This window comes from Homo sapiens, chromosome 5 (genome assembly GCF_000001405.40).
Source record: "Homo sapiens chromosome 5, GRCh38.p14 Primary Assembly".
NCBI lineage: Eukaryota > Metazoa > Chordata > Mammalia > Primates > Hominidae > Homo > Homo sapiens.
Window position 1 is genome coordinate 55,753,213 of NC_000005.10, and position 16,293 is coordinate 55,769,505.

At 35.3% G+C, this 16,293-nt stretch overlaps 1 protein-coding gene across 7 annotated transcripts in view; it reads left to right on the forward strand.

Moving 5' to 3' along the window:
* DDX4 (DEAD-box helicase 4) overlaps positions 1 to 16,293 on the forward strand; it is a 79,097-nt gene that overhangs the window by 15,152 nt on the left and 47,652 nt on the right. For 3 of the 7 annotated variants that reach the window (XM_024446119.2, NM_024415.3, NM_001142549.2), the window contains exons 4-7: positions 6,988 to 7,065; positions 9,963 to 10,040; positions 10,802 to 10,852; positions 14,669 to 14,728. In XM_024446119.2, coding sequence (XP_024301887.1) covers positions 6,988 to 7,065; positions 9,963 to 10,040; positions 10,802 to 10,852; positions 14,669 to 14,728 — 267 coding nt within the window. Of the gene's footprint in view, positions 1 to 6,987; positions 7,066 to 9,962; positions 10,041 to 10,801; positions 10,853 to 13,672; positions 13,755 to 14,668; positions 14,729 to 16,293 lie in introns of those variants that run through there. The other 4 variants (NM_001166533.2, XM_011543495.3, XM_011543497.3 and 1 more) reach the window with 4 other exon arrangements.

The window sequence follows — 16,293 nt, forward strand, 5'->3', positions numbered from 1 at the left end:
CTTTTGTTGCCATTGCCCTATGAAGTCCTTGCCCATGCCTATGTCCTGAATGGTAATGCCTAGATTTTCTTCTAGGGTTTTTATGGTTTCTGGTCTAACGTTTAAGTCTTTAATCCATCTTGAATTGATTTTTGTGTAAGGTGTAAGGAAGGGATCCAGTTTCAGCTTTCTACATATGGCTAGCCAGTGTTCCCAGCACCATTTATTAAATAGGGAATCCTTTCCCCATTGCTTGTTTTTCTCAGGTTTGTCAAAGATCAGATAGTTGTAGATATGCTGCGTTATTTCTGAGGGCTCTGTTCTGTTCCATTGGTCTATATCTCTGTTTTGGTACCAGCACCATGCTGTTTTGGTTACTGTGGCCTTGTAGTATAGTTTGAAGTCAGGTAGTGTGATGCCTCCAGCTTTGTTCTTTTGGCTTAGGATTGACTTGGCGATGCGGGCTCTTTTTTGGTTCCATATGAACTTTAAAGTAGTTTTTTCCAATTCTGTGAAGAAAGTCATTGGTAGCTTGATGGGGATGGCATTGAATCTGTAAATTACCTTGGGCAGTATGGCCATTTTCACGATATTGATTCTTCCTACCCATGAGCATGGAATGTTCTTCCATTTGTTTGTATCCTCTTTTATTTCGTTGAGCAGTGGTTTGTAGTTCTCCTTGAAGAGGTCCTTCACATCCCTTGTAAGTTGGATTCCTAGGTATTTTATTCTCTTTGAAGCAATTGTGAATGGGAGTTCACTCATGATTTGGCTCTCTGTTTGTCTGTTGTTGGTGTATAAGAATGCTTGTGATTTTTGTACATTGATTTTGTATCCTGAGACTTTGCTGAAGTTGCTTATCAGCTTAAGGAGATTTTGGGCTGAGACGATGGGGTTTTCTAGATATACAATCATGTTGTCTGCAAACAGGGACAATTTGACTTCCTCTTTTCCTAATTGAATACCCTTTATTTCCTTCTCCTGCCTAATTGCCCTGGCCAGAACTTCCAACACTATGTTGAATAGGAGTGGTGAGAGAAGGCATCCCTGTCTTGTGCCTGTTTTCAAAGGGAATGCTTCCAGTTTTTGCCCATTCAGTATGATATTGGCTGTGGGTTTGTCATAGATAGCTCTTATTATTTTGAAATACGTCCCATCAATACCTAATTTATTGAGAGTTTTTAGCATGAAGGGTTGTTGAATTTTGTCAAAGGCTTTTTCTGCATCTATTGAGATAATCATGTGGTTTTTGTCTTTGGCTCTGTTTATATGCTGGATTACATTTATTGATTTGCGTATATTGAACCAGCTTTGCATCCCAGGGATGAAGCCCACTTGATCATGGTGGATAAGCTTTTTGATGTGCTGCTGGATTCGGTTTGCCAGTATTTTATTGAGGATTTTTGCATCAATGTTCATCAAGGATATTGGTCTAAAATTATCTTTTTTTGTTGTGTCTCTGCCTGGCTTTGGTATCAGAATGATGCTGGCCTCATAAAATGAGTTAGGGAGGATTCCCTCTTTTTCTATTGATTGGAATAGTTTCAGAAGGAATGGTACCAGTTCCTCCTTGTACCTCTGGTAGAATTCGGCTGTGAATCCATCTGGTCCTGGACTCTTTTTGGTTGGTAAGCTATTGATTATTGCCACAATTTCAGATACTGTTATTGGTCTATTCAGAGATTCAACTTCTTCCTGGTTTAGTCTTGGGAGAGTGTATGTGTCAAGGAATTTATCCATTTCTTCTAGATTTTCTAGTTTATTTGCATAGAGGTGTTTGTAGTATTCTCTGATGGTAGTAACCATTTTTAAATGTACCGTTGAATCCCTTTTTTTCAATATGGTGAGAAATAGGGATCCAATTTTATTTCTGTCCCTATAACAACCTAGTTTTTTCCAGCACCATCTAAGCATTCTGTCTTTTCCTTGTTGATGTGTGATGCAAATTTCATTTCTTAAACGATTTTGTTCTTTGTTGTCTTAAAGCATTGGATAAAATCTACAGTTCATTGACGAGTAGTAGAAATAACAAACATCTAGGCTTTTCCTCACTTCAATGGGAATGCTCCCAAATTTTTATAATTATGATGTTTGCATTAGGCTACTAATAGTTATTTTTTAAAATCATGCCAAGAGAGTTTCTTTTCATTTCTACTTGAATATTTGTTTTGTTCAGGAATGGCAGTTGAATGTTATCAAATGGCTTTTTAGAATTACTGATTTCTATTATTTCTCCCTTATATCTATTAATGTAGTAAATGAATTTTTAAATGAACTTTGTGTTCCTGGGCTAAGCCTTACGTGACTCTTTTATTGTACTATTGGATGAAATTAGATATTTTATTTAGCACTTCTGAATTAATGTAAGATTGGCGTATAGTTTTCTTCTGTCATGTCGTCCTCACTTGGTTTTGGTTTCAAGCTTTTCATGTTTTCCAGTAAGCTCCGGAACATGAAAATTACCTGTTTTTTTACAAGTTGTATAGAATTTGTTCATAAAACTGTCTAGGCCAGGGCAGATTCTTTTTTTTTTTAAACTTTATTGAAGCATAATGTACACATAGATTCAATATGTATTTCAGTAAGATACACAGCATAAATGTACAGCTCACTTAATTATCAGAAGCTGAACACTCCCTGAAAGCCAGCACTCAGATCAAGAAAAACAGCATTATTAACAGCACCCTTGAAGCCTTCCTTTTTCTTCCAGGCACCGTCCCTCTGTCCAGAAGTGACTATTATCCTGATTTCTAACAGCATAGATCAGTTTTCCCTATAAATGGCAGTCATATAAAATGGCGTCATACATTGTGTTCTTTTTTTGTTGAGGTTTTCTCCAGGTTGTTAGAAGTAGTTATAGGTTATTTGTGGATGTATGATATTCCCTATGTAAATATACCGTAAATTAAAATATTGATGGTCATTTTTATAGTTTCCAGTATTTGCCTGTTATGAGTGGTTCTCTTAAGAATGTTTTCCAATTCATGTCTTTCGGTGGATATAAAAATCTTCTCTGAATGTGATTGGCAGAACAGTAGCATTGGCATCACCTGGGAACTTGTTAGAAATGAAGAATCTCATACTGCACCCAGAACTACTGCATCAGAATGTGTGTTTTAATGAGATCACCAGGTAATTTGTATGCACATTACTGTTACACTCTGAAGTCTCTATTTGGAAGACTTGACACTGAATTCTAAGTGTTAGTGTTTCAGCTACTTGGGGTAATGAAAGGGATTAGAAGTCAGGAGAGCTGGCAGCCCTAAGCACCACTAAATAGTTTCAAAACTCTTTGCCCCTAAGTCTTTTCTCATCTTCCTTTAATTTTCCTCACTCTGGTTTAGGCAAATCACTGTGGAGAAAGGTTGGAAGATTATAGAGTCTTAGAGCGCATACTGAAGTCTCATACATAATTGGGTTCTTTTGCTTGGTGGTTTTAGTATATGGAATTTTTTTTAAGTTCTTGTTCAATATTTGAGCCTCTTTGGATTTGGTCCAAGTGTAACTATATTGAGAGATATTCTTTGTGGTCAGTTGTTGGGGATTGTGTACACTAACACTAAATTCATTTTAAATGGACTTCATTTTTATTTCTTTTGGTTTATTTTGGTGGATTTCATAGCATTCAAGAAGAGCATCTATACTCCATCATTTATTGGTATTAGAGTCTTATTTATTTTTATTGCTATGTATAATATGTATTGTGGGGATTGCCGTGATATATATCAATGACAGCATATCATTACATTCATGAAAGTGAATGTAAACTTTCACATTTACATGTGAAAGTACTGTGAGATTTAAAACTACTAAAAAATGGAAAGGAAATAATTGTATATTTTCCTTAGGATTGTGTGCTAATAACAAGGTAAACTGGGTTAATTCTTTCTTAGAACCTTCTACTCTTGTACCATCATTTTTATGTATTTTTTATTTACATAGGTTTTTGGGGAACAGGTGGTGTTTGCTTACATGAGTAAGTTCTTTAGTGGAGATTCGTGAGATTTTGTGAACCCATTACCTGAGCAGTATGCACTGTACCCAATTTGTAGTCTTTTATCCCTCACCCCTCATCGCACTCCTTTCCCCAAGTCCCCAAAGTCCATTGTATCATTCTTATGCCTTTGCATCCTCATAGCTTAGCTCCTGCTTATGAGTGAGAATATCTGCTATTTGGTTTTCCATTCCTGAGTTAATTCACTAAGAATAATGGTCTCCAATTCCATCCAGGTTGCTGCAAATGCCATTATTTCATTTCTTTTTCTGGCTGAATAGTATTCCATGGTGTATATATACACCACTCATTGATTGATGGGCATTTGGGCTGGTTCCATATTTTTGAAATTGCGAATTGTGCTGCTATAAACATGCGTTTGCAAGTATCTTTTCATATAATGACTTCTTTTCCAACTAGTGAGAGGTAGGATTCCCAAGAATAATTGTTACCCTGTGACTTTATTGTAGAATCTTTATTGAAGACCTTTTCATGAAAAAAATCTACTGTATTGAAGTCTTATGTAAACCATAAAGCTTAATGTTTTGAACCACCACTAATTTTAAGAACATTACCCACCGGGCGCGGTGGCTCACGCCTGTAGTCCCAGCACTATGGGAGGCTGAGGTGGGTGGATTACTTAAGGCCAGGAGTTCGAGACCTGCTTGGCCAATGTGGTGAAACCCTGTCTCTACAAAAAAATAAAAAAATTAGCTGGATATTGTGGTACACGCCTCTAGTCCGAGCTACTCAGGAGGCTGAGGCAGGAGAATTGCTTGAACCTGGGGGTCAGAGGTCGCAGTGAGCGGAAATTGTGCCACTGCACTCCAACCTGGGTGACAGAGCAAGACTCCATCTCAAACAAGACAAAACAAAAAAATTCTCATGCACATTTGGGTTGTTTCCTTTTTTGCTGTTATGAACAAACTCTCATCATTCCTTAGTTTGCTAAGTATATGTTAAGTCATGAAAGGTGTTAAATTATGTAATATACTTTATCTGGAGAGATTAGTTATTTTTTATTAATGTTGTGTGTTACCTTTTTTTAGATATGGTAGTGTTAAATACCCTTGCATACTGGGATAAACCCAATTAGTCATAATATATTTTATCCATTCAGTTTACTGTTGGGTTTGGTTTGCTAATATTTGTTTTTGAGATTTTGTATCTATGAGTAAGGTTTATAATTTTCTTCTGAACTTTCATATCAAGGTTATGTTGGTCTGTAGAATGAGTTGGTGAGTAATTTCTCTGTTTCCTGGAAGAGTTGTATGACAGTTGAATTATTTGTCCTTTGAGAGTTTGGTAGAACTCACCTGTAAAACCCGATCTCTCTGCATCTTTCTGATGCAGAAAATTAAGTACTGATTTAACTTCTGTAGGAGAGTTGGGTTTTTTATTGATTCTTGAGTCACTTCTGGTGAGTCAATTTTCTAGGAACTTTTTCATTTCTTTTAATTTACTAGCATAAAGTTGTTCAGAGAAGTTCTCTAGTTGTCTTTCTGTTCTTTGAGATTCTTTTTAAACACATTTCTAATACTGTTCACTTGTGTCTTTGTATCTGTTCTCCCTTCACCCCCATTATTAGTCCTCTAGTAGTTGGTTACCCTGGCAAATTTTATAGGTCTTTTCGAAGAACCAAGTTTTGGCCTTTTTGAGCTGCTGTATTACGTTTGTTTCCTTAAAAAAAAAAAAAAAAAAAAAAAAAAAAAAGAGGCAGACAGACAAGGTCTCTTTCTGTTTCCCAGGCTGGAGTGCAGTGGTTTAATAATAACTCACTGCAGCCTTGAATTCCTGGGCTCAAGTGATCCTCCTGCCTTAACCTCCTAAATAGCTGGGTCTACAGGTGTGCACCACCACACCCAGCTACTTAAATTTTTTTTTTGGTAGAGATACTGTCTTGCTATGTTGCCCAGGCTGGTCTCAAATTTCTGACCTCAAGCATCTCTTCCCACTTTGGTCTCCCAAAGCTGTTTCCTATTTTATTAATTTTCGTTCTTTATTTCCTTTACTTTTGTGTGATTTACTTTGTTTTTCTAATATTCTTGTTGAGATGGCTATTAAGCTTATTGAGTTCTTATTTTCTAGTATAAATATTTAAATACTGATAAAGTCACATTTTTATCATATAATTTGAAGTATTTTTAAACTTCCATTGTGAGTTTTTTTTTTGAGCTGTGGGTTATATAGAAATGTTTTTAAAAATACGTCACCAAATGGGATTTTAAACAATTTTTTTCATATTTAATAGCTTTTGATTTGATTGCATTGTGATAAGAGAATCTCATGTATATGAATTGATTATTGAACTCTTGTTGAATTTGCATTATGGCCCTTCTACATGGCCAGTTTATAAACACTCTCCATTGTTGAAGAATGTGAGCTCTTTAATGTTGAATGCTGTATATTTCTTTGGAATCCTTGTGCATACTATTGTATGGATGACCATAATTTCTTTATTCCACTTTGATCATTTATTTGGTATTACAGACAGTGCTTATAAAAATTTTTTTATGTCTGTCTGGATAACCATGTGATTATATCCAGAGGAGAAATTCATGTTACTGTACTTTCAGAGTATATGCCTTTTAAATTAGGATCAAGATTGATCTAGTTTATAATCTAAATACAGTGTATGTTTCGTGCCTGTTTCCCTGTGTCCTTGTTCTGGCTATTAGCAAATTTAAGACTGTTTTCCATTTTTTAAAAATTTATTTATTTTGTTATTTTCTTTCAGGGAATAGAAGGGACTTTTCCATTCAATTATGAGGTTAAAAATTGCTGTCTTTTGATTTCTAGTTCTTTATGAATCAGATTTAGTCACAATTTATTTTTCTTTAGGAGAACTGTCTATTCATGTAGCCATTTTTTTTTTTTTTTACTGGGCTGTTTGTCACCTTTTTTACTGCTATATAAAATTTCTCCTTTGCCACATGTGGCACAGAAGGCTTAAGGTTTGCAAGTACTAGATACTTGTTTTTATTTGACTTACTTCAAAATGTTGTTTGCTTTAGAAATGGATGATGGACCTTCTCGAAGAGATCATTTCATGAAAAGTGGATTTGCCTCTGGGCGGAATTTTGGAAACAGAGGTAAGCATCTTTGTCTTTCCTTAATCTCCTGAACTGTTGAATAATTGGATATATAGAGGCTTTCATGGCCATTTGGTACAAAGCTAAGTCTGTTGTAAGTCAGTGTGTAGTAGACTTGGTGTTGAGATAATGAGTTCATCATTTTTCCAAGTTCATTTTCTTTTTTCTGTTTTACTTCTTTGGGATAGTAGGGAGTAGTGTTAAGTTGATTAGACAGATTGGTTGGAGGGATGGATGGGTTGGATGGATGGATGATTCACAGAGCTGCTGCTTAATGTGTTTGTGATATTGATTTCCAACAATTGATGTGGGAAGAATATTTGTAAAAGCTTCAGGGATTAGAGGTGAGAGGGACTCTTTCTTGAATTTTATATTTTTCAAGAAAAGGCAGTATAGGAAACATTTGTTAGCTCATTAGTATTAATTTTTTAAGAGTTTATTTTGCCATTATTGGATTTTTAAATTTTACTTTTAGAACAACCACCTGATATGACAGATAATGACACAGCAAAACACCTTTCTACAGTCCATTTTTAGACTTAATATTAACATGCTAGAAATATGTGCTATATTTTATTATAGTGCAATAACATATTAGAACTTCAGGTTAAATTTATTTGAAAATCCATACGGTCATTTTTTTATCTTTTAGGGGATGCCATAGCGAGGGCTATTTGTTAAACATACTTGACACTTATTCTTGAATTTATGAGATGTTATTTTTTGAAAAACTCTATTGAGACTTGCAGATATTTTTGCTGTGGAAACTAAAAGATGCATGATGTTTTATTTGACATTTGGAAAATTTAATTTCTTTAGATACAATAAACACAAATTTGAGTTTTATATTTTGACATGTTTCTGCCACTAATAGAAATGATTTATTCAAATATACACATATATATTGGTTTTTAAGCCTGCATATTAAGATGCATTGTTTATTTGGACAATGTAATTGTGCTAAGAGATTCAGATGAGATTTTGTTAGCTACTATTAAAATTAGAAATATTTTAATATTACATTTAGGAGCATATTTATTATTTACGTATCTTTTAAAATTATATTTTAGTAGAGGTTATGTGATATTTTGATACAGGCTTCTAAATATTATTGAATAAAACCTTTTTCAGTGAGAAAATCATCACTGAGGCAGATTTTACCACAAATTATTTTCATGTTTTAGGTTGAAATACACATAAAATTTCCGATCAGAACTCTCAGTTGTTAATACTTTAAACAATTAGCTTTATATTACCTGGGACATTGTAGACCCATGAGTATAACTTATTTTCCATATGATTCTTCTAACATTTTATATAGTTTCCTTTTTTTTTTCTTTTTCTTTTTTGAGACAGTTTTGCTCTTGTTGCCTAGGCTGGAGTACAATGGCACAATCTCGGCTTACTGCAACCTTCACCTCCCAGGTTCAAGTGATTCTCCTGCCTCAGCCTTCCGAGTAGCTGAGATTACAGGTGTGCGCCACCACGCCCAGCTAATTGTTTTTTATTAGTAGTAGAGACAGGGTTTCACCATGTTGGCCAGGCTAGTCTTGAACTCCTGACCTCAGGTGATCCACCTGCCTCGGCCTCCCAGTGTGCTGGGATTATAGACGTGAGCCACCACGCCTGGACTGTATAGTTTCAATCTTGATTTTCTTCTCAGTAGAACTTGCATAACTAATAATGTGGTTTTTGAAGTTGACTCTTCATTGCTTAAAATATCGACTAGCTTGTTATGTCCTGTGAAGTATGTCTGAGTAGCTTGGACTTCTTGAATCACACATCTTTGAAATCTGATTAAAATACTTTTATAGTTGGGCATACACAATTTTACAGGTGGTTTCAGGAGTTACACAGATCCCTTTTAACTCCCCTCTACAAGGGTTTTACAGAGGTAAGTAAGACAGTATATAGGGATCACAGGGAATGCTTTAATTTTTTTCTCAGTGATAGTTTAAAGCATCATTTTATGCTGTTTTGGATGTCTCTCCTGTTCTTTTTTTAATGTTTTATTTTAAATAATCGTTCTTGCTATCACATCTCTGCTCTCGAGATTTTTAATTTAGTGGTAGAGAAACACATGGAAAGAAATACTACTTTAAAAAGGTACAGATAGTATGCTGTGGGAATGTGGAAGAAGGATAAATTATGACTGGAGGGCTAAAGGAAGACTTCACATAATTGGTTTTTTGAAGAATGAAGTGAATTTTGATAAGACAAATAAGAAAGTAGGGAATGCCATGCCAAAGGAATAGCATGTACAAAGATACAAAATATTAGCAGTTGACAGTGTGGAGTATTGGAGTTGTTTGGTGTGAATTAAAATGTTGGGTGTTTAGAATTACATAGTGAGAAACAAAGCTAAGAAGGTTAGTATGGGGAAATAGTATGGCGAGATGGGGAGGCCAGGAGGGGAGTGGTAGTCTTAGGTTTTTCCCTTATGTAGCCCCTTGTTTTAATTTTAAAAATGGAAAGGATATGATAAATATAAGAAATAGAAAAATAAAAAATAGAACAGTTAAACAGGACACGAGTGTAAGATTTTCAATAGCAGTGACTTTCACACAGGGCAGAGCGTAATAGCTGGCTCTATCAGGATGAGAATTCAACATATAGAAAACTATGGAGCAGAATTTTCCTGCTTGAAGGTCTCCAATATAATACCAACTAGTAGAAAGCTGTGTTTCACCGGTAGTAGATTTGTTTTTACCTTGGTATCATAATTTAAGAGTTTTTCTTTTAAGTTGCAGGTATATTAATTAATTTTAGGTTTCTGTGCTACTCTTTTCCCATCCTTGGAAGTCTCTTTACGCCAGAAATTCATTTAATTCTTAGTTTTTGATGATGACACACTTAATTTTATATGTTAAAGAGTTTAACTGTCCACCCTTTTTCAGATGCTGGTGAGTGTAATAAGCGAGATAATACATCCACAATGGGTGGTTTTGGAGTTGGAAAGAGTTTTGGAAACAGAGGTAATTACTTGGTTATGATATCTTACAATCAAAACTTGAGTGATTTTTTAATAATTGAGTTTAAATACTGATTGACAGACATTCCATATTGACATTTAATTTCAAGGTATATATTCTGTGAGTGCCTTTGCACTAAAGATTATCTTATTAAAACTTATTAAAAACATTTTTTAATTTTATGAAAGATTACTGATGAATGCTTTTAAAATTAATTCTAGAGACATGTCTGTATGCTTCAGAGATGCATAACTCTTAGACATAGGTTTTTAGGAAATAAGTTTGAAAGCAAAACTTGACGACTTTTTAAAAAAGAGTAAACAAAAAGAAGCTAACAAGATTTTCATGTTATTGAGGAGAAAATCATTGAGTTATTGGGTTATAATTTAGTTGTATTGTCCTTAGCAGATGAAGAGATTGAGTTTGTAAAATTTTGAGAATTTTGATGGTTTTAAATAGAAAACATATAGTGGTTACACTGACATATTCCTCTGTTTTGCCCATGTGCATACAGAGGAGTATATGACAATTGAGGTAATACAGAATTGGCTGAAAAGAAAGTTGTTTTTAACCTTAAGAGAATGGAGTTGATAAACTGACACAAAGCAGAAATTGTTGTACAGCCTGAGTGAATTTGCATGTGATAGCTATGTATACAATTGTGTATCGCTTATCTTAGAAGGCATCATAACTAGTAGTTCCTGTGTGGTTATCATTTTTACCACAGAGGTACAGGAAATTGTTTCATTTTATATTTTGTATAGGTTTTTCAAACAGCAGGTTTGAAGATGGTGATAGCTCTGGTTTCTGGAGAGGTAAGGTTGATATTTTTGTGTTTTAAAATTTAATGTCAAGAGTACATGCTAAAAAAGAGAAATTAAGATTAAGTCTCTTAGTCCGGGCCAATTCTAACTTATTTAAACCAGATTTTATGAAGTAGCTATATCCAAAGCCTTAACCAAGGATATTACTGCTTTGTACATAAAGAATTCAGGCATCCTAATTTGGCCTGTTGCCATCTGCCTTAATCCATGAGGTACAACTTTTGAATGCTCTGAAACTTAAGAAAATGGGGATAGATAATAAAAAGAAGTAGTCAAGAAGTGAAACTTCACTCTCTATATAAATACAGTTTGTGATGTATAGGGTCACATTTAGATTCAAATAAATCTAAGAAAAAGTTTCATGAGAATGTAAATCAGTGCTGAAATTAAAGACAATTCCATTGAAGGTACTGACACTCTACAGGAATACAGAGAATGATGAGAATGATGAAAATAATGATACCAGAAGATGGACTACGATAAACCAGTGCATTCCCAAATCTGATTGAGTCGATTTGGGTGAGGTCTTAGAACCTGTATTTAAAAGCATCCATGGTGATCCTGATACCTCCTGTGTTTGGTAATCATTGATGTATGAAATCTTTATAACATAGAACACTTTAGGGTGCCAAACTTGGCTTCATGTCTCTGCCTTGCTACCTGCTAGTTGAAGTAGAACAAGTTGCTTAATTTTTCTAAGCCAGTTTTCTGTTCCATAGAATGGAAGGTATTCATTTTATAGGTGGTTAGGCAGGCTAAGTGAGAATGCGTGTAAAAGCACACAGCTGAATACCAGACACATTCATGACAAACACTCAGATGTCATCCATCTATCTTCATTAAATATTTGAAGCTGATCTTATTAAACACTTTGATTCCCAAAGTCAAAACCAAGCCTAGACCTGATCACCTTAAAACACTTTTGGTATAAGGCCGGATTTTAATTATCAAATGAGACTGTTTCTCCAAACTATTGCCAGTCTCTTTCTCCCTACTTCTCTTTTTTTCTCCTATCCCGTTCAAATGAAAACATATATGATGTAGAACTAGTATTTGTGAGAGAAGAAAAATACCATCATTTTTATTCTTTTCCATTTCTATGTGTTTCTGTTCTGATCTCTTTTAACTCATTTAATATTCAAGATCATTTCTACTTATACACAGACCTTTCTACCTACTTGACCCCTTTGTAGAGATGGTGGGCCAGGGAGCTTTTGAATACAAATTCCAGTTTCTCATGGCACTTGAGAGAACTTCTCTCCGAAGTGGCCTGCTTGCTTTGTTTTGATCTACTTTCTTCTTTTTTCGTTTTTAGTTCCCCTAAAAAAAAAAAAAAAAAAATATATATATATATATATATATATGGATTGAATTCATTCATTGTCTCAGTTGTTAGCAAGCCCAAGTTCTGAGCTCACGGTAGAAGCTTTTTACTCTGGACACAAATGGATAGTATGTTTTTAAATTTTTTTCCCCTGTCATCTACTTTGCTTAAGCTGGTATATTGTAGTGATAAGGAACTCAGATACTGGATTTGAACACGTAGGTGTGAGACTCAGATCCTCCTCCTGGCAATTGTATTATCTTGAAAAAGCCTGTAACTTTCTGCTTTTCATTTTCTCTATTTGTATAATGATGACTATATCTACTTCACAAGGTTTTTGTGAAACTTTAGACTAAAGTTAATACATGTGATACATTTAGAACACGGCCAGGTACATACTTTATGTGTTGTTATTATTATTTTTCGAGACGGAGTCTCGCACTGTCACCTGGCCTGGAGTGCAGTGGTACAGTCTTGGCTCACTGCAACCTCTGCGTCCAGGGTTCAAGTGATTCTCCTGCCTCAGCCTCCTGAGTAGCTGGGATTACAGGGGCCCGCCATCACGCCCGACTAATTTTTTTTTTTTTTTTTTTGTATTTTTAGTAGAGACGGGGTTTCGTCACGTTGGCCAGGCTGGTCTCAAACTCCTGACCTCACGATCTGCCTGCCTCGGCCTCCCACAGTGCTAGGATTACAGGCATGAGCCACTGCGCCAGGCCATATGTTATTTTTGTATAATTAATAGGTTGTAACTAATCTTGGTATCATTATCTCATTTTTGTTTGTGCTTAGCTTTATTTCCTAACTGTATAGAGATCACTTATTTTTTAAAGTAATTTTTTATTTTGAAATAGTTTTATTCATAAGAAGTTGCAAAAATAGTACAGAGGTTTTTCATGTACCCATCACCCAACTTCTCTTAATGTTTTCTATTTTTATTCCCACTGTGATCAAAATAACTGTAGGTTTATTTTAGGGAAATAATTGGCCAAAGATATTGTGAGACTCTTTCCCTTGCCAGGTCCCAGATTAGTAGTTTTGTTTTTTTTTTTTTTTTCTCGAAAGCAGTAAATATTAGTTATCATCATTGTTATTCCAGGGCCAACTTTTCAAAACTTATTTCTTTCCTGCCCTTCTACATTGTATTAAGTCCTGCCTTCCAGAAAGTTGTCTTGTTAATGGCTCTTCAGGATTGTTTGTCAGTTGTCAGCTGCAGCTGAAATAGGAGACTGCAACAAGAGCTTTGGGTCACTGTTTATTGTAGAACATTATTAGTTGTTAAATGGATTGGGACTTTCACACAGGAACTTAGCTAATAACCTGCAAGCTGTTTGGTCACTTGCTGTCATTATTTTGACTTAATGTTCCCAGATATTAAATATTAATGATATGTACAAAGATCCCTTGAAACCATCTTTGTATTCCCAAATGTGACTTTTTTTGGAATCTTCTGGAAAGCCTGATGTCATAGTAATAACATAGAACTTTTACATTTCGAAAAATCATTCCTTTCAGAATAAACATTTCTGGGAATGGGGTCTAGGAATTTATTTTTAACCAACTCTCCAGGTAGTTTTCAGGCAGCCTTCAGTATAGTAATCTCTCATACTACTATTTTAAAACTCTGGGAATGTTACTTACTAATATCAAAAATGGAGAAGCTAGGATATCCCCAAATTATTTCATTAGCATGAATGGGGGAAAGTTTGCATATATTTAAGAAAGCACAAATGTCTTGAGTTTATTAAGAATGGTAAATTGGCCGGGTGTAGTGGCTCACGCCTGTAATCCCAGCACTTTGGGAGGCCAAGGTGGGCGAATCACCTGAGGTTCAGGAATTCAAGACCAGCCTGGCCAACATGGCAAAACCGCATCTCTCCTAAAAATACAAAAATTAGCCAGGCATGGTGGCGCATGCCTGTAATCCCAGCTACTCGGTAGGCTGAGGTGGGGATAATCGCTTGAACCCGGGAGGCGGAGGTTGCAGTGAGCAGAGGTTGTGCCAGTGCACTCCAGCCTGGGCAATACAGCTTGACTCCATCTCCAAAAATAAAGTAAATTACAGAAAAGATATGACATTATAAATAGAAGAGTCTAGTGGTCTATGGACCTTATGTGAGAACCACTTGATTACTTAATAGCTTAGATGTTCCTGAAATCATTTTTGGTCAAACTGAAATTTATGAAATTCTTATTTTTTGTTTTGTTTTGCTTTGCGTAGTATAATGCTTGGCAAATAGTAGGTTCTCAATTTCATATAATAAACATTTAATATTTAGATACATGAGATGATTTGTATAGGGAATCGACTCTGAGTAATGTCTTTATATATCTGTTAAAATTATTTGAAGAAATATGTTTATATTTTAACTTATGAAAATATTTTGTCTTCTTACTAATTTATCTTGTGACAGTGCTATTCTTTATATATTGCATCATTTAAGTTAATTAAATGCTATTTACATGTTAAATTTTTATTGAAGAGTCTAGTAATGACTGCGAAGATAATCCAACACGGAACAGAGGGTTTTCCAAGAGAGGCGGTAAGGACCACATTTTGGAACAATTTGTACTTAACACAGAGACACTAAACTGGTAAAACTGATTTTGAAGGAGCTGGATGAAAAACACTGATCGTGAAAACCTTTGAAGAAAAATACTTTGGTATATGTTTTCTGCTTTTAATATTTGAGTGAGTATTCAGTGGGTGCCCCTCCTTTCACTCTTTTATTTTATTTTTTTAAGTTTTTGGTTCAGGGGTTCATGTGTAGGTTTGTTATCTAGGTAAATTGCATGCCATGGGGTTTTGGTGTACAGATTATTTTGTCACCCAGATAATAAGCATAGTCCCTGATAGGTAGTTTTTTGATCCTGTACCTCCTCCCACTTTCTACCCTAAAGTAGGCCCCAGTGTCTGTTGTTCCCTTCTTTGTGTCCATGTGTTCTCAGTGTTTAGCTCCCACTTATAAGTGAGAACATTCAGTATTTGGCTTTCTGTTCCTGCATTAGTTTGCTTAGAATAATGGAGCTCCATTCATGTTCCTGCAAAGGACTTTATGTCATTCTTTTTTATGGCTGCCTAGTATTCCATGGCGCATATATACCACATTACCTTTGTCCAGTCTACTGTTGGTGGGCATTTAGGTTGATTTCTGTGTTTTTGCTATTGTGAATAGTGCTGTGGTGAACATATGTGTACATGTGACTTTATGGTAGAATTATTTATATTCCTTTGGGTATATACCTAATTATGGGATTGCTGGATCGAATGGTAGTTCTGTTTTACGTTCTTTGAGAAATCGCCACACTGTTTTCCACAATGGCTGAACTAATTTACACTCCCACCAGCAGTGTATAGGCATTCCCTTTTCTCTGCAAGCTTGCCAGCATCTGTTATTTTTTGATTTTTTAATAATAACCATTCTGACTGGTGTGAGATGGTATCTCATTGTGGTTTTGATTTGCATTTCTCTAACGATTAGTGATGCTGAGCATTTTTTCATCTGCCTGTTGGCTGTATATTGTCTTTTGAAACGTGCCCATGTCCATTGTCCACTTTTTAACGGAGTTGTTTGTTTTTCTGCTTGTACATTTAATTTCCTTATAGATTCTGGATATTAGGCCTTCGTCGGATGCATAGTTTGCAAATATTTTCTCCCATTCTGTAGGTTGTCTGTTTACTCTGCTGATAGTTTCTTTCGTTGTGCAGAAGCTTGTTCATTTAATTAGGTCCCATTTGTCAATTTTTGTTTCTGTTGCGGTGGCTTTTGGCATCTTCATCACAGAATCTTCCAGGGCCTGTGTCTAGAATGGTATTTTGTAGGTTATCTCCAGGGTTTTTATAGTTTTAGGTTTTACATGTTATTCTTTAATCCGTCTGGAGTTGATTTTTGTATGCGGTCTAAGGAAGGGGTCCAGTTTCAATCTTCTGCATATGGCTAGCCAGTTATCCTAGCGCCATTTATTGAATAAGGAATCCTTTCCTTATTGCTTGTTGTTGTCAACCCTGGCAAAAATCAGATGGTTGTAGGTGTGTGGAATTCCTATTTGCAGATGGTATGATTTTATACCTAGAAAACCCTATAATCTCTGCCCCAAAGTTCCTTGA